This window comes from Homo sapiens, chromosome 14 (assembly GCF_000001405.40).
Source record: "Homo sapiens chromosome 14, GRCh38.p14 Primary Assembly".
In the NCBI taxonomy this organism is placed as follows: Eukaryota; Metazoa; Chordata; class Mammalia; order Primates; family Hominidae; genus Homo; species Homo sapiens.
The window spans coordinates 90,563,985-90,580,533 of record NC_000014.9 but is presented as its reverse complement, the minus strand read 5'-3'; the positions used below and the strand labels follow the sequence as shown (position 1 = coordinate 90,580,533).

At 51.0% G+C, this 16,549-nt stretch overlaps 1 protein-coding gene across 3 annotated transcripts in view, besides 4 other annotated features; it reads left to right on the top strand.

Moving 5' to 3' along the window:
* The window catches only part of TTC7B (tetratricopeptide repeat domain 7B), a 291,867-nt gene that overhangs the window by 235,897 nt on the left and 39,421 nt on the right, over window positions 1-16,549 (top strand). For all 3 annotated transcript variants that reach the window (NM_001320421.2, NM_001010854.2, NM_001401365.1), the window contains one exon: window positions 2,226-2,428. In NM_001320421.2, coding sequence (NP_001307350.1) covers window positions 2,226-2,428 — 203 coding nt within the window. The remainder of the gene's footprint in view (window positions 1-2,225; window positions 2,429-16,549) is intronic.
* Window positions 5,281-6,154: an enhancer, noted in NCBI's record as "OCT4-NANOG-H3K4me1 hESC enhancer chr14:91040724-91041597 (GRCh37/hg19 assembly coordinates)". NCBI's record gives its function as "activates a minimal SCP1, AML or CMV promoter by ChIP-STARR-seq in primed H9 embryonic stem cells {active_cell/tissue: H9 hESC(primed)}" and the evidence as "EXISTENCE:reporter gene assay evidence [ECO:0000049][PMID:30033119]".
* Window positions 7,988-9,187: an enhancer, noted in NCBI's record as "BRD4-independent group 4 enhancer chr14:91037691-91038890 (GRCh37/hg19 assembly coordinates)". NCBI's record gives its function as "activates an origin of replication core promoter dependent on BRD2, P300/CBP, MED14 and CDK7 cofactors, and independent of BRD4, by STARR-seq in HCT116 cells {active_cell/tissue: HCT116}" and the evidence as "EXISTENCE:reporter gene assay evidence [ECO:0000049][PMID:35650434]".
* Window positions 9,967-10,467: an enhancer, noted in NCBI's record as "H3K4me1 hESC enhancer chr14:91036411-91036911 (GRCh37/hg19 assembly coordinates)". NCBI's record gives its function as "activates a minimal SCP1, AML or CMV promoter by ChIP-STARR-seq in naive H9 embryonic stem cells {active_cell/tissue: H9 hESC(naive)}" and the evidence as "EXISTENCE:reporter gene assay evidence [ECO:0000049][PMID:30033119]".
* Window positions 10,468-10,968: an enhancer, noted in NCBI's record as "H3K4me1 hESC enhancer chr14:91035910-91036410 (GRCh37/hg19 assembly coordinates)". NCBI's record gives its function as "activates a minimal SCP1, AML or CMV promoter by ChIP-STARR-seq in naive and primed H9 embryonic stem cells {active_cell/tissue: H9 hESC(naive and primed)}" and the evidence as "EXISTENCE:reporter gene assay evidence [ECO:0000049][PMID:30033119]".

Here is a 16,549-nt window from a genome sequence, read left to right as displayed (position 1 = left end):
GCAGAGGAGTCGGATATCACCCTGGGCCAGAGGAGATGCTGTTCTCTGTGGGGGCTGCAAGCACAGGCTCCCAGCCAGGTGGCTGGGGTTCTAATCCCAGCTCTGCCTCCAGTTTGCCCTGAGAACTTGGGCAGGGTGTTCACGCTTTCTGCACCTCAGTTTCCTCATTTGGACAATGGGGATAAAATAATAGTACCTACTGGATCACCATGTAGATAAAATGAGAACTGAGAAGGCCTCTAGGTACAAAGCACATGTTTAATAAGTGTCAGCTACTGCTGTTGTTAGTTACCTTTCATCCATTCAGCGATTCAGTGAGCTCTGACTATGTGCCAGGCACTGTTCTAGTCCCTGGGGACGCAGCAGGGAGCAGCACAGACACCATCCCTGCCCTCATGTCGCTTACAGCCCATATTCCGGTGGGTGCAGAAAATCAGAGCACAGGGCCTCGGCCTGGCTGCCTGTTGGGCAGGCGCGGAAGCCACAGGCCCCAGGGAAGAAGGAGGGCTTCGGAGCAGGTGGCTGCCGCCCCAGAGGTTGGCCTCAGGGTTAACCTGGCAGCAGCTGTGGAGGACAGGCTCATGGCCAGGGCAGGAGGCAGGGAGGGGAGTCTCTGCATAATTGAGGCAGTTTCCAAAGTGGGCTCCAGGGGATGACAGGGTAAGGTGCACAAAGAAAATAGTAAAACTTTCTTGTTTTTTTCGTTGTTGTTGTTGTTTGGTGTTTTTTGTTTTGTTTTGTTTTTCAGACGGAGTCTCACTCTGTCACCCAGGCTGGCATGATCTTGGCTCACTGCAACCTCCACCTCCCAGGTTCAAGTGATTCTCTTGCCTCAGCCTCCCTAGTAGTTGGGATTACAGGTGTGCAACACCACGCCCGGCTAATTTTTTGTATTTTTGGTAGAGACGGGGTTTCCCCATGTTGGCCAGGCTGGTTTCGAACTCCTGACCTCAAGCTATCCGCCCGCCTCGGCCTCCCAAAGTACTAGGATTACAGGCACAAGCCACCGCAACTTGCCTAAACTTTCTTTTTTTATTTTTGTTCTTTTAACTTTCTATTTTGTGTGCTGTTGTGGATCATATGACATGTAAGATATTAATTCATACAAACATACACATAACTGGGAGATAGGGGTGCAAACCTCTTTTACTGCAGGATACGCCAGTGGTCAAGGCAAGAGTGCTGAGGAAGGGTCTGGCCTGCAGGTGGGAGAAGGGGTCCATGAGCCCCGACAGAGCGGGCGGCCTCTGCGTGAGGCTCTGGGCTGCAGACTTGACCATGTGGCCCTGCTGGCCCTGGAGAGGGGTGGGGGGTGATTCAGATGTCCCTGAAGCCTCAGGCCCAGCTGACTAGAAAGATGGTGGTGCCTCAATTGGCAAGGCCTCAGGAGAAGAGGCCCTCGGGGCCAGTTGACACGTTCCCCCTGGATATTCGACAAGTGTGCACCTGGGAGGCAGGGAGGCCGCCCTTGGAAACACTCAAAAGGGCTCTTCAGGGAGGCCAGGGCTGCAGAGGGGTTTGGCTCCACATGGAGGTGAGAGAGTTGAGGCCTGGATCGGTAGCAGGGTCATTTTCCTGCTTGTTTTAAAAGCGATAGCTTGGCTTGTCAAAGGGCTTTGTCACTGTGACACAGATAAGAGTTTACAGGGTGCATCAACTTCCCCTGGTCAGAGGTGAGCTCAGGGGCCAGGTGTGGCGGGGCAGCCATCTTGCATCACGCCTGTGAACATGATAGCTGCAGCCTGCAGCCCCATCATACTTCTTGGCATCAGGAGAGTGGGTCAGAGGGCAGAGCCGTTGCCCTCTGAGGGTCTGGGTGCCTCTGGTCTGCTTGTGCCCTTGTTCATTCTGGCCCTTTTTCTATGGGGGTCAGAGCCAAGGGTTGGACCGGGCCAGCCTCTGTCCAGACACTGAGGAGCCCCGGGTGGGCCCTGAGGGTGGGTGCCCTCAGAGGTTGGGGCAGGGACCAGGCAGGCCTCACTGCTCCCTGCCTGGTGGTGACCTATGCCTGCCCTGCAAGGCCCACAACACGAGTGACTCCAGTCCCCATATAGGAGTGGGCAGGAGGGACTGTCAGCGGCAGCTGTTTCCACTTGGAGCAGGGATCAGCTGGCTCTGCGCCCCGCCAGACTCCCGTGCAGGGAACACGAACATCAGAGTGGTGGCTGCTCGCAGGGCCTCAGAGGGGCACCAGGAAAGCATGTGCCGTTGCTGTCTCCTCACAGCTGAAGTCTATATCGGCATCGGGAAGCCTGCAGAAGCCACAGCCTGTACCCAAGAAGCTGCCAACCTCTTCCCAATGTCCCACAATGTCCTCTACATGCGCGGCCAGATTGCTGAGCTCCGGGGAAGCATGGACGAGGCGCGGCGGTGGTATGAAGAGGCCTTAGCCATCAGCCCCACCCACGTGAAGAGCATGCAGCGACTGGTGAGTCCACGAGCCCGGCGGTGGCCCCTACTCTGGCATGGGGACAGCCCTTGGAAGCGGCAGGTAGCACATGACCCTCACACCCTCTTCTGCTTCCAAAGGCCCCATGCAGTTAGCTTGCCAGGCTGTCACATGGCCTGAAGCCAGAGGGCACCGTTTCTACCATAGTTTATGCAAATGGCACCCCCAGAGTTGGCTGTGTATAGCCTCAGCAGCCCTACCCGACATCCTGTTAGGTGCTGTGGTCTCCTGGCCAGCAGTCTAAGCCACCCTGTGGCTCTGGGTTTGATAAAGACATTCTTGTGGCCGTGGGGCATTGTCACTGTCATCTCAGCCTCTGTGCTGCTTGCAGTAGCCACCTTCGGGGGTTTCCACATCCCGGGGAGACTTCAGGATGACAGTCAGAACACTTTACAAACTGGGAGACTCTCTTGCCTTAAGGGAGCCTGAGACTCCAGCATGTCTCTGAGGCCATTGGCTGGGAGGGAGCATCCTACCAGCGGGGGTGTCTGGCCATGTTGCCCTGAGAGGTGGGAGGCAGATGAGTCACCCTAGTGTCCACACTGCACAGGGGTGTGGCGGCGCTCAACGAGTGCACATCCTTCGTCTACAGCCTGGGCCAAAAGCCTGGGGTTGCCCTGCTGCTCCCACCCCTTGCCATGGATCATTCTTGAGAGACCCTGGAGCCGGCCACCTGGCCGTGTCGGTTTCAGTTAGGTGGGGACACTGCTCGCTCAGGAGGGTTCTGTCCGTTATGAACGTGTGTTAGTGCAGCTGCCTCGGCAGTCCTCTGTCATCTTCCTGCGAGGGTCTGAATTGAAACTCACAAGTTACCAGGGTCTGAGGAGCTTGTGAAAAGCCGTGCCACGTTCCCTGGGCCTGCATGCTGGGCTTTGGTTCTGAATTGTTGTTTCATTTTTAGCAGTAGACATCGCTGATGTCATGAACCGCAGGAAAGAAGAGCCTTTTATTATAAAGCTCAGGGCCCTTCGTGTCCGCACCCGTGGAGGCTTAGCACCCATAACCAGATGGTGGTGTGTGATATGGAAGAGTGAGCACTGGACAGGGAGTCTGAGGACACAGTTCTGGTCCCAGCGACATCAGCTGCTTGCTCTTTAACCTCAGGAAAGGCCCCTAAGCTCTCAGCACCTCAGTGTCCTTTCTGCAAAATGAAGGCATTTGACTAGACAGGCTGTGTCTGTCCAAGACTAATAGGATGTGGTTTTGTAACTAATAAGTAAAATGTTCCCCAAAGCATCCCAAAGCCTTCATTATCTTGCCATTTCTCATAGTAATGTTGCAAAATGTAGAAAGGGGCTGGGCACTAACTGCTGGTTTCCAGCAGAAGAATGCTGATGCACTGGGAATTAGGCCCCATGGAAAGAGTGTCTGCTTACAAGTTACATCTGCACTCGAACTAAGCCCTGGTCCTGACTCCTGGGGAAGCTCGGACTTGTCACTTAACCTTTAGGCACCTTGTTGTGTTTAGGTGAATTGGGCTCCTACCCCAGTGGGATGTTGTGAGAAAGAATGAAATGATTTACATAATAATCTTAGCAGAGTTCCTGGCACCTAGTAGGTGCTCATGAAATAGGAAACTGAAGACAGTCATTTTCAGTTTTAAAAAGAAATCAAACCTTACCATAATTACAGCTACTTAATTTTTTCCAACTTCCCTTTGTGAGTCTTCTGTGGCCCCAAACAGATTTATAAATAATTTTACATATTATCCAAATGTTAGTCTGTTTGATTAAAAATACTACATGGCTTTTAATTTTTTTCTCACTATTAGAAGAGGAATTTGTAAAGAGCTTGTCAGATCTCTGTGCTTTTGCTGAGAGCATCTAGAAGACGTACAATCCCCGCCATGTCCCAGCCTTTTTATTAAAAAGAGGCTGCATGTTTCCATCTCGGGGACTATGAATTATTCAGGGAAGTATTTCTTGTTCATCCCCAAGGGGAACACATGAGACAAAAGATCAAATAGGAAAATCGCACCGGGAGAGTTTTCTGTTTCACCTTTGGAGCTTTTCAAGACACCTGAGATGCCTGACACATGCCAGGCACTTTCCTTTCTGAAAGGAGCAAGCAGTTGACCCAGCACGAGGGAGCTGGTGAGTGAGACTAGGGCCATGGTGAGCCCCGCCTGCTGGGTCCATCGGCAATGACTGAGCCTTACTAGGCTCAGAGACATGAGCTGCTTTGGAGATCTTGCCAGTAGAGAGGGGTCATCATAATAAACTATTAAAACCTCTCTCCGTGGATCCTGAGATATTGAAAAACCATCCAGATTGGAGGCAGGATGAGAAGAGCGAGACTACAGATTTGAGGAGTTTAGAGTCTCGCAGTCAGAAACTTTGCCCAGTGACTGATCAGTGTGGCTCCCGAAGGTAGCTTGAGCACGCCTTCTTGGTGATTTTCTAAATGATGCACCTGGCCTGTGTTCTCCCCAGCCTGTCCCCAGGAGCCCAGCCCACAGCCAGGGGGAGCCCCATGCAGCCAAGGGCAGGCCCCCCTCCCACTGGTGCTGCAGGACCCTCTGGTGCCTGTGGAGGGGCAGCCCATGGACCCCACAGGCTCTTCAGCCCTGAGACATCACACTCCCTCTCTGTCCTCTTCCCTACAAGCTACACAGGGAAGCTGTGTTTCTGTGCCCTTCGATGGAGGAAGGGAGGAAGGGGGTCTTCACGTATACCCTAGAGGCCCAGGAGGAGGCCCTGGAGCCAGGCTGGCCTGGGTTAGAATCACAGCTCTGGCCCCATTCGCTGTGGGGCCTTGGACAGGTTATTCACCCTCTTGGTGCCTCATTTTCCTCAGCTATATAAATGAGGATAACCGCGCCAATACAACATGCAGACAGATTAAACCCAAGAACTGACATCTCTTGCTAAGTCACAAAAGGTTCTGTCTCTACCCTCACGGAAGGTGGATTGGTTTGCAAGCCCCTGAGTTAAGAGGAAGGTGTCAGCAGGGAGATGAGAGGCTGTCTTACCAGGTCAAGCCCCAGGGAGGAGGCAGGGCCCCGACCTGTGTGGCGGAGAGTGGCGGAAACAGAGCTGAGCGTTGACAGTTGCCTGGCACACAGGGAGAGCGGCGAGGGGGAGGCCAGGGAGGCCAGGGTCAGAAGGTCAAGACTAGAAGGAGTTTAAAGAACAGAGCCCTAGGGAGCATCAAAGAGCCAACTACGGAGGCTCCAAGGGAAGGAGCCAACTGGGAGACAGGTCGTGGATCATGGGAGAGGGTAGAAAGTGTGCTTGCAGCAGCCCTGATGCTCAGAGAGGAAGGCAAGGAGCCAGGGGACAAGCAGTCAGTGGGGGCTGTTAGGGAGAAGGAAGCCTCATTGTCTGTGTCACAGGTGGTGGTCAGGTGGCTGATGTGACGGCAGAGAACAGTTATGCCAGGAGTTGTAAGTGGCAGCAGGTGCCAGATCAGCAGCTTGCAGGAGGGCTATGGCTTAAGCAGAAATGCAAACCTGTTAGTATTGTTAAAAAGCAAGAGTGACTTTAGTATTCATGAACAGTAAATCAGAGGTCAGACTTGACAAGAGAAATGTAAATTCAACCCCAGAGGAAACGGACGATCTTCTAATAGCTTTAGCCTTCATGTATGTGTCTAAATTCATGTGTAGTGAGAAGGGAGCAGAGAAATCATGTGTTTATTAGCAATAATGAGTTAGCACAAGACAAGGGAGGCAGAGATTGCTGAGGATGGGCAGGTATTACGGGAGCAGCATGCTAGAGGGATAAGGAGTTGCCAAGTAATGTTGTTGACAAGGGGAGGAATTCATAGACTGACCAGACTTTTTCCAGAAAATCTAAAGGCATATTTTTGTATTATTTTTGCATAAGTGTATAAATTTACATTTATTCGTGTGCTATGTTAAAAAGCCTTTAGCTCCCAGTATGCAAAATGAATTAAAGAAACATAGAGCAACTTTTTCCAAAGCAGTTATTCCATGTTCTGGGGTGGGGAGAGGAGAGAAGCATGGCTCATGGTGGACAGAGGAGCAGAGAACCAGCATCCCTGGACAGTCATTCCCAGGCCAAGGACAAAATCACCAGGACAGGGACAGGCTGTGCAAACACTGACATCTGGTTGCCCTCTGATAACGTCAGCCTGGGCTTTTGAGGGCAAGTGTGAGGTTGGAAAGTAAGAAGGGAACAAGGGCTTTCAGGAGAGAGAAGAACATGGAAGGGAGCCAAGAAGGTTGCGTGGAGGGGAGCTGATAAGGCCAGGATGGGAAGTATTGCTAGGGAACAAATGTGTGCTGGAGAATATTAGCAGGAGGCTCGGGTCCGCCTCCAGTCCCTTTGACAGGTTGAGAAAAGGTGTGAAGCAGAAGCAGATGGCAGGGGTCAGCCAGGGCTTGGCGGAGTGGACAGCAAGTGGAGTGAAGTGGGGTGAGGCCGCTTTGAAGAGGCCTGTGGGCCGAGAGGGACCGTGAGCCAGAGAGGGACCATGAGCCCGAAAGGGACCATGAGCCAGAGAGGGACCGTGAGCTGAGAGGGACCGTGAGCCGGAGAGGGACCGTGAGCCGGAGAGGGACCGTGAGCCGGAGAGGGACCGTGAGCTGAGAGAGACCGTGAGCCGGAGAGGGACCGTGAGCTGAGAGGGACCGTGAGGCGGAGAGGGCCTGTGAGCCGGAGAGGGACCGTGAGCTGAGAGGGACCGTGAGCCGGAGAGGGACCGTGAGCCGGAGAGGGCCTGTGAGCCGGAGAGGGACCGTGAGCTGAGAGGGACCGTGAGCCGGAGAGGGACCATGCACTGAGAACCATGGAAAGAGCATCGGGACAGCAGTGAGATGGAGCCCCCACCCTGCAGTGGGGAAGGAGGAGAACTGCTGCGTCCACCTGCAGGATGAGCATTCCCCAAGGCTAGGACGGAGGCCATTATATTTCACAGCCAATGCTGAGAAGTGACGAAATCTAGATTAAAAGCATGAAGGGGCCATCCCCTTAAATGAAGTTTCCAAGGCAAGGCTGAGGGCCTGGAAAGGGACAGAAAGCCATCAGCCCTTTGTGAGAAGATGGCAGAGGGGCTGTGTTTCACGCACTGCCCCCCAACCCCCGCCCCAAGGAAGTAGTGATAAAAGACCACTGGTGAAGCTCACCAAGGAGAAGGGGAAAGTGATGGGGAGGAGAGACGGGCGGTGGCTAGGGGTTGGGCTGAGGCAGTTGGCCCAAAGAGTACGCTGGGGGCCATGTGCCTCATCTGGAGGGGTCTTAGGTGTGGTGGGTTGGGAGTGGAGTGGAGCATGGGAAGCATTTGGCAGGGAGCTTGGATCAGGAGCGCTGCTTGGTGGAAAAACACATTTTTCAGGTTACCATAAGGGGTCAATCTAATAATAGAATAAGCTTTTTGTTCCGGGCATGGTGGGCCCAAAAGTGCTCTTTTGTCTTCTGTGGACGGATTGTGAGACAAGAAAACCTCTTAGTTCAATCAAGATGGCTGCAGGCTAAAGGTTTCATACACAGGCTGTCTTTGAGGAGTTCCTCTATGATCTTCTGTTCTCTGAAACATCAGAAATCTGGAATAACATCAAATATAAAAACTTGAGGACTGGCTCTGCCGTTCTATTTCAAGGGACTACATTAGTAGCAGAAGACTTGCAGAGATTGGCCGAGCTGTTTGAAAAATGCATTTTCTTATGAAATACCCGAAGGTGCGGCAGATTGATGGTAGGTTTGGGAGATGGCCCCACGATGTGAGGTGCAGTGGATATGTCTTATGGATTATGACTACATTTTCAGTTGTTTTAACAGCTCCAAAGGCTGACTAACGACACTGCTGACTAACGACACCACTCTGAGAAGGTGGCTCTTCTGAAGTTCAAAGAGGGGCCTGAAGTCGGAGCTTTCTTTAAACTGTCTTCCAGTTTACATGCTTGTTTGCTGTGTGAAAACATCTCATCCCATTATGCGTGATGAGCTGGAAGTATGGCAGAGAGGGCTGGAATCGAGGGAAAAAGGTGAGCTTCGGCTTGCCTGGCATTGCTAAATTATAAAACACTGGTGTTTTTCTCTCTCTCTCGTCTCTTAAATTGTCCATCTGTTCATTGAGATTTGGGAAAAATTGCTGTCTCCTATTTTCTTAGTTGGCACCATGTTTTCCAGTTTGTGTCCCTGTGGGAGGAGAGATTCAGCATGAAGATGATGAACTTCCCAGGGGGCTCCTCCAGAAACTGGCACTCGGTGTCTGTGTGTCTGTCCAGTTTATCCATCAGCCTAGTGAGGGCTACCCAGGATCCAGACAGGCAGGACAGGCTCACGCATTGGCACATCTGCAGTTTTCCCTTGGAGAAACGTCTTCAGAAGACATCTTTTGAACCCTTCTGTTCCTCTGGATAAGGCCCAGGCCCAATTAAGCTGATGAAATAGACTTGAAATACCCTTCCCGCTTTCAAATGGCCATCTTTAGACGTGGATCTCTTTCATCCGAAGTATCAGTTTTCTTTCCATACATAGAAAGAATGACTGGCAGGAAACAAAACTTCATGATAGTCCAGTGAGAAGGCCTTTTCATCTGTTAATTGTATTTTGCTTTCTTTCATAATTAAAAAATGTTTTCCAAATTGAGGAGAATAACTTTTTTTTCCTCTAGAGCAAGGCTTATGAAGTATTTAGTGCCCAGCCTTCCAATGCGTCCATGTGCTTGTTGAGAGGACCCTGAAAAGTGCACAGGCCCTCATTTCTCTCTTGCCTTTCCTCGCTATAACTGCAGTTCCAACTCACAGTGCCGAGGACAAAGTAGTGCCTCCTACTGGATGCCTCCTACTGGACACTTCATCTTCGATCTTTGCTCTGTCTTCTGTCTGGTGACACACACTCTTCGATAGCTGCTTGATAGTTTTAGCTTCTTCGATAGCTGTGTGAAGCCCTTTCAACAATTATTGATACTTGGCTTAAGGATTACCTTTCTCTACAAAGAACTTTGAAGCCTCATATGTCGTGTCTGCTGCGTGTGCTCTCCTAGTACACAGTGAGAGGGGACTTTCTTGTTTACTGATGGGGACCCTGCTGTTGGTCACCTGCCCCAGGTCACCTGTAAGTTAGGAGCAGAAGCAGAACAAGAAAGTCGTGAAATCGTATGTTGGTGTGGTCCCTTAGGAACCCAGAGCTTCAGTGACAGGCGGTGGAAAGATCGGGAGCACGGTGCTGGCGCCAGCTGCCTGGGTTCCAGTCCCAGCTGTGTCGCTTACTAACTGCGTACCCCGAGATAAGTCCCTTCATCTCTCTGTGCTTCCATTTTTCTCGACAGTGAAATGGGAGTAATAACAGTGCCCGGTGGTGTTGCTGTGCGGGTTAAATGAGTTAGCAGGGTGCCTCACACTCCGCAAATATCAGCTCTGAGTGTCGCTGTCATTCTCTGTAATCCAGGTCGCGCCTGGGCTGGGAGATCCTTTGCGTCTGTTTGACAGTGAGTGAGTCATCTCCTGGCCCCATGGAGCTTCCCTTTCTGCACCAGCGTGACTGACTTTCACTGGTTGGAGGAGCCGAAATGAGAATATATCTCGGTGCGTGGTCGGCCGCGAGCACGATGCTTCGCTTTTGAGTGTGACTTGCTGCCTGTTTCTGCAGAGCCAGGGCCCTGGTTTTGAGGTGGAAAAGGGTGGGAGAGTGCATTGGTGGAGGCCCCTGGGGTGATTTGTTCCTAGGCGGAGATAGAAAGTGTTGGATTTTGAGCAGAGGTCATCAGAACCAGCTGTTTCTCTCCAGCCAGGGCTCCTGCCTTGGTGCAGAGGCTTTGAGTGTTTGCTGGCTTGGCCTTGGCACAGCCTTTGCTGACCAAATGAGTGCGGGAAATGACTTCGAGGCAGGATTGGATGATGCAGCCATGTGATTTGACATGAGATCACGAGGCTTGGTCAGGCTGATTAATGGAACACTCCAGCACAGTGGGATGTCAGTGTATTACAAGCCAGACCTCAGGGAGGCCCTGCTAGGCTGTAAGTGGGGCTCTCACTCAGTGTGCTGGGTACAGCCGGGTCCCCAGGCTGATCTGCAGTGTTGACTCCGGGCCTGAACATGGGAAAAGGCTGGAGGAGAGCCTGTGCTTGAGGGCCCTTGGTGGAGGGAGTCACCACCACCCCCAAGTTCATACACTCAGCCCTGTTGACCCCAGGCATACTCTTCCTTGTCAGACTCTGTATCCCATTTGGAAGGCATGGGCGTCACTATCCTTCGACAGAGACTACTGTGGAACAGTGCCCTGCTGGAGCCTGCAGAGTCTCCCCTGGCCACATGTGTGTCCCTGGCTGCTTGCTCTCTGTCCACATGGGCAATCACAGCTGAGAGAGGCTCAGGGGGCAGGCACCTGCCTGAGGGCTGTTATGTCCCTGTGTAGGCATGTCCAGGCGCAGGCGTGTCCAGGTGCAGGCATGTCTAGGCTCAGGTGTCTGTTGGCTTCACAGGACTCCAAGGCCTGGTCCTTCTGTTCTCTCAGTTCACTCAGACAAGATCCCCCTCTGAGAAACAGACTCACACTAATCACACTCTTGACAGACTGAGTTCCCAACCAGAAACCAAAATGATGATTTATAAGGATTTGCACTTTTCCTGGGCCAGACCCCCTGTGCTCTCTTGCCCTCCTCCACAGAGGAGCTTGCCCTCTAGGCTAGACATCAGGCCCCTCCTCCCTCAGGTCAGATGAATTCTCAGCTAGTGGAGTTTCTATTAGTCACTCCCCAGTCGTCTGTTGGGACACACTCTCATCCCTGGATGGTGACTTGGGACACAGCCTCAGCCCTGCATATGGCGGTTCCCTCTGTAGATTGTGATCACAGTGTCGGTACAAGGCAGGATCTTCCTCCCATCCTGGTCCGGGGAGAGGGAGTTTCTTCTGTTGCCTCCACCCTTACCCCAAACCTAGATGAAAGCAGCCTCCCCTGCTTTCCACAGCACCGAGGCCTTTTCATGGCTTTCACCACTGCCTTAAGGAGGGCGGGCTCCTCTGGGGAGGAGATATGGAGACCATGCGGGTCTCACTGGGTTTGCAGTGCCTGCCACCTTGTCTTTGAGGCTGCAGGTGATAGCGATGGCAATAACCAATTAAAGATGGGCCTGTCAAATCCCATCAGAGGGGCAAACCCAGTGGAGAGGATTGAGTGGGGGGAGGTACTGGTGGAACAGGTGTGAGGTGAGAATCAGGTAACTGGAAGTTTTCTTATGATGTAAGCTATTTCCTCACATCCTTTTGAAACTGCACTTTTTTAGCTTATAATATTTTCTCCTTCTTGAGCATCTGTGTCCTCCTTGGAGTAAAAGGAATGTCCCTGGGAATAAGAACCTCTGCCGTCCATCCACATGACTCCTGTTTGGTTACTTGCCCACCTCTCCCCAGCAACCCTCCTGCTCAAAACAACATCATTTGGCACAGGGATAGTCTCTGCAGACATTTTCTGCTTGGTGCTTGGATTTCTCCTACCACTGCAGCATTTTTCTCAGTGCTGGCCAGGGAGGCATGGCACCAGGCCACCCTGTCCTCACCGAGGACTAAAGCCACAGACCCAGAAGCTTCATGGGCCCAGGGCAGGCTCTGAAATGCAAGCATGCGGTGCCTTTTGTCACTAGGCATTCCTTTGCTTCAGCTTAAGGAAAAAATGAATGCTGTGTTTATTTCTGTTTTCTGTCTTGGAGTCTTAGATGACTAATTACGGGCAGTACAGTTCAGTCTGTCATTAGTAATTATGATCTAAAATCATTTAAAATCTGACATACTCTAGCCGAACCATTTATTCTTGGAAATTCTGCCCCGTTATTTCAGTGTGATTTGACATTGAGGTTCCACCTCCTTCCTGCTTTGCTCCCTAGCTTGAATCAGGCCTTTCGTTTTCACTTCTGTGGGTTGTTCTGTGTTCTCAGATTCTGGTCCCGATTCCCGCTCCTTACTTCCCACCTCCCTGGATTTTAGCCCTGCTGCTGCCTTTCATTCCTCAGCCACCCCCATCCCCCACACCGCCTGCCTCTGAACTCAGCCAGAGGGGATGGCTGTCACTCAGAATGTGGCATTCTGTGCCAACTGGGCCTGCTGCTTCCAAGTCATCTTGGGCCTGAATTGCTTTCCCACCATTTGGTGCTGGTCCCAGAGACTCCCCATTGAGGGCTCGGGGGCTCTCTTTGGGCCGTGTCAACCCCACGTGTGATCTGGACCTTCAGACCGAGTTTAAATCACTGAGCCCAAAGGTCTAGGGAGAATATCCTGTAAGAAGTCTCTCCCAGCATCGAGGCTGAGTCCCTAAAACGGACCGGTTGCAGATGGAAACCTTTGGACCTGACACTCACCAGAGAGTTAGAGGCACTGCAGACTGAGAATCCCATTGAAATGCGCTAATCTAATCACCCCCTTTTACAGATGGGGAAGCGGAGGCCAGACAGGGGAAGGGACTCACCAAGGGTCCAGAGCAGTGAGTGGCCAACCCACCAGGAATCCTGACTCCATCGCTTTTGAAGGTTTCATGTCCACTCTTCCTATCTGTAAAATGGGAGACTAGCACCTGCCTTCTTGAGATGGGGGTGGGGATGGAGGTAAAAGAGATCAGCTCTCTGAACTCCTCCAGGGCTAACGCTGCCCTAGAGAACTTTGTCTCCACTCTGATGGACGGGGGGAGTTTCTCATTGTTCTCCGAGGCTCAGACAGCCCCAGCTCTAGGTCTCGTGGTCATGCAGCATCCACTGAGCTTGGCGCCTTTCTCTTTCGCTCTCCACTAGAAAGAAGTCTTTGTGTCTCTTCTTGCCCCTTACCCGCCTAGATGTGTCTCTCCCTGCTGTGTGGCATGCCTGCACTCACAGCTGCCCTGAGCCCAGGACGTGCCTGAGTTGCCAGCCTCAGCGTCGATAGACGAGCTCATTTGGATACAGAGAAGTTTCCAGGTTAGCCTTTGGCACTCATGTTGCCAAGGTGGGGTTGCTTAGGAGGAAGGAAGACAGATCTACCAAGAATCACCAAGTCTAAAACCCTCAGGCTCTTGCGGGGTGCTGACCTGGAGCCAAGGCAGGCCTCTCTCCCCTGCACAGATCCACGGATGCCTGCTCTGGGCCCTGGCCCTGGAGACCACCCCTCCCCGCCCCCGCCTTCCCCTTTCAAATTGATGAGTGCAGCTGACCAAGGAATGAGAGTGCAATTGTGTGAGGCTCCACCCAGAGCGTTTGGTGCAAGCCCAGTCTGGGGTCAGGAGGTGGCCTTCCCTGTTACCTGGCTCCCGGAGGCCTCAGCAATCACCTGGGGAAAGGAGAGAATGGAACAAACCAACCAAGGTCTGAGGGCCTCAATGTCCAGAACACTCCAAGTCACTGAGAGCTTTGGAAAAGCCCTTAGAGAACTCCTTAGCTAAAGGGGAGCCTCTGCCAGGGTTCCAGGGCTCTAGACCACTTTGCCCCAGTAGGAAATTCCCCACCCCATGGGCCTTGCCTGCTTTACTGCCCACCACGTTCACTGATGAACGACACGTGATCTCTCCCTTCCCTCCTCCAGTTGGCTTCCTCCGTTTTCTCATCTGTGTGGTATTTATATAACAACTGTCTCTTAAAATACCTTTCCAGGTGTTAGTGTTTTCATTCTTTTTTTTCTTTTTTTGAGTCTTTCAGAACATCAACTAGTCAGTCACCCCAAGGGCTTGTGAAGGAGGAGGGTACAGGCACAGACACACCTTGTCTTATTGCCCTTTGTCTTATTGCACTTTGCAGATACTCATTTTTTACTAATTGAAGATTTGTGGCAACCTTGCATTGAGCAAATCTATCAGTGCCTTCTTTTTTTTTTTTTGGAGATAGAGTTTCACTTTTGTTCCCCATGCTGGAGTACAGTGGTGCGATCTTGGCTCACTGCAACCTCCGCCTCCCAGGTTCAAGCGATTCTCCTGCCTCAGCCTCCCAAGTAGCTGGGCACCTGCCACCATGCCCAGCTAGTTTTTGTATTTTTAGTAGAGACAGGGATTCCACATATTGGCCAGGCTGGTCTCAAACTCCTGAGCTCAGGTGATCTGCTCACCTCAGCCTCCCAAAGTGCTGGGATTACAGGCATGAGCCACCGTGCCTGGTCTATCAGTGCCATTTTTCCAACAGCACATGCTCACTGTGTTTCTCTGTGTCACACTTTGGAAATTCTCACAATATTTTAAAATTCTTTTATTATTATTACATCTGTTGTGATCTTTGATATTACTATTGTAATTGTTTGGGGGCACCATGAACCACACCCATATAAGACAGCAAACTTAATAAATGTGGTCCTGACTGCTACACTGACCAGCTGTTCCGCCATCTTTTTCCCTCTCCTTGGACCTCCCTATTCCCTGAGACACAGTAATATTGAAATGAGGATCATTAATAACCTTACAATGGCCTGTGAGTGTTCAAGTGAAAGGAAGAGTGGCATGTTTCTTACTTTAAATCAAAAGCTAGAAAGGATTGGCCAGGCGCGGTGGCTCATGCCTGTAATCCCAGCACATTGGGAGGCCGAGGCGGGCAGATCACGGGGTCAGGAGATCGAGACCATCCTGGCCAACACAGTGAAACCCCATCTCTACTAAAAATACAAAAATTAGCCGGGCATGGTGGCGCATGCCTGTAATCCCAGCTACTCGGGAGGCAGAGGCAGGAGAATCCCTTGAACCAGGGAGTTGGAGGTTGCAGTGAGCCGAGATCACGCCACAGCACTCTAGCCTGGCAACAGAGCAAGACTCCGTCTCAAAAAAAAAAAAAAAAAAAAAGCTAGAAAGGATTAAGCTTAGTGAGGAAGGCATGTCAAAAGCTGAGACAGGCCAGAAGTGAGGCCTCTTGCACCAGTTAGCCAAGTTGCGAATACAAAGGAAAAGTTGTTCAAGGAAATTAAAAGTGCTATTCCAGTGAATACTCCAATGATAAGAAAGCGAAACAGCCTTATTGCTGATAGGGAGAAAGTTTGAGTGGTCTGGATAGAAGATCAGACCAGCCACAATATTCCCTTAAGCCAAAGCCTAATCCAGAGCAAGTTCCCAGCTCTCTTCAGTTCTCTGAAGGCTGAGAGAGGTGAGGAATCTGCAGAAGAAAAGTTGGAAGCTAGCAGACGTTAGTTCATGAGGTTTAAGAAGCTGTCTCATAACATAAAAGTGCAAAGTGAAGCAACAAGTGCAGACAGAGAAGCTGCAGCAAGTTATCCAGAAGATCCAGCTAAGAAGGTGGCTATAGTCAACAACAGATTTTTATTTTTATTTATTTATTTTTTGAGGTCTCACTCTGCCTCCCAAGCTGGAGTGCAGCAGCGCAGTCATAGCTCACTGCAGCCTTGAACTCCCGGGCTCAAGTGATTCTCCTGCCTCAGCCTCCCAAGTAGCTAGGGCTATAGGCACGTATCACCACAACCCGCTAATTTTTTAAGTTTTTTGTGCAGATAGGGATCTCACTATGTTTCCCATGCTGGTCTCAAATTCCTGGCTTCAAGCAATCCTCCCAACTCTGCCTCTCAAAAGTGTTGAAATTACAGGCCTGAACCACTGTGCCCAGCCCAGCAGTTTTTTAATGTAGATGAAACAGCCTCCTATTGGAAAAAGATGCCATCTAGGACTTTCATAGCTACAAAGGAGAAGTCAGTGCCTGGCTACAAAGCTTCAATGGATATGCTGGTTCTTTTGTTAGGGGCTGATGCAATTGGTGACTTTGAGTTGAAGCCAGTGTTCATTCACCGTTTTGAAAATCCTAGGGCCCTTAAGAATTATGCGAAATTGACTCTGCCTGTGCTCTGTAAATGGAACAAGAAAGCCTGGATGATGGCACACCTGTTTAAAGCATGGTTCAATGACTATTTTATGCCCACTGTTGACACTTATTCAGAGAAAAAGATTCCTCTCAAAATATTATTGTTCAGTGACAATGTACTTGGTTACCCAAGAGCTCTGCTGGAGTTGTACAAGGAGATGACTGTTATCTTCATGCCTGCTAACACAGCATCCACTTTACAGCCCATGGATCAAGGAGCGATTTAGACATAGATAGTGATTCCTCTGATGGATCTGGGCAAAGTAAACTGAAAACCTTCTAGAAAGGATACAGCATTCTAGATGCCATTAAGATCATCCATGATTCATGGGAGGAGGTCTAAATATCAACATTAACAGGAGGTTGGAAGAAATTGATTCTGACCCTCATG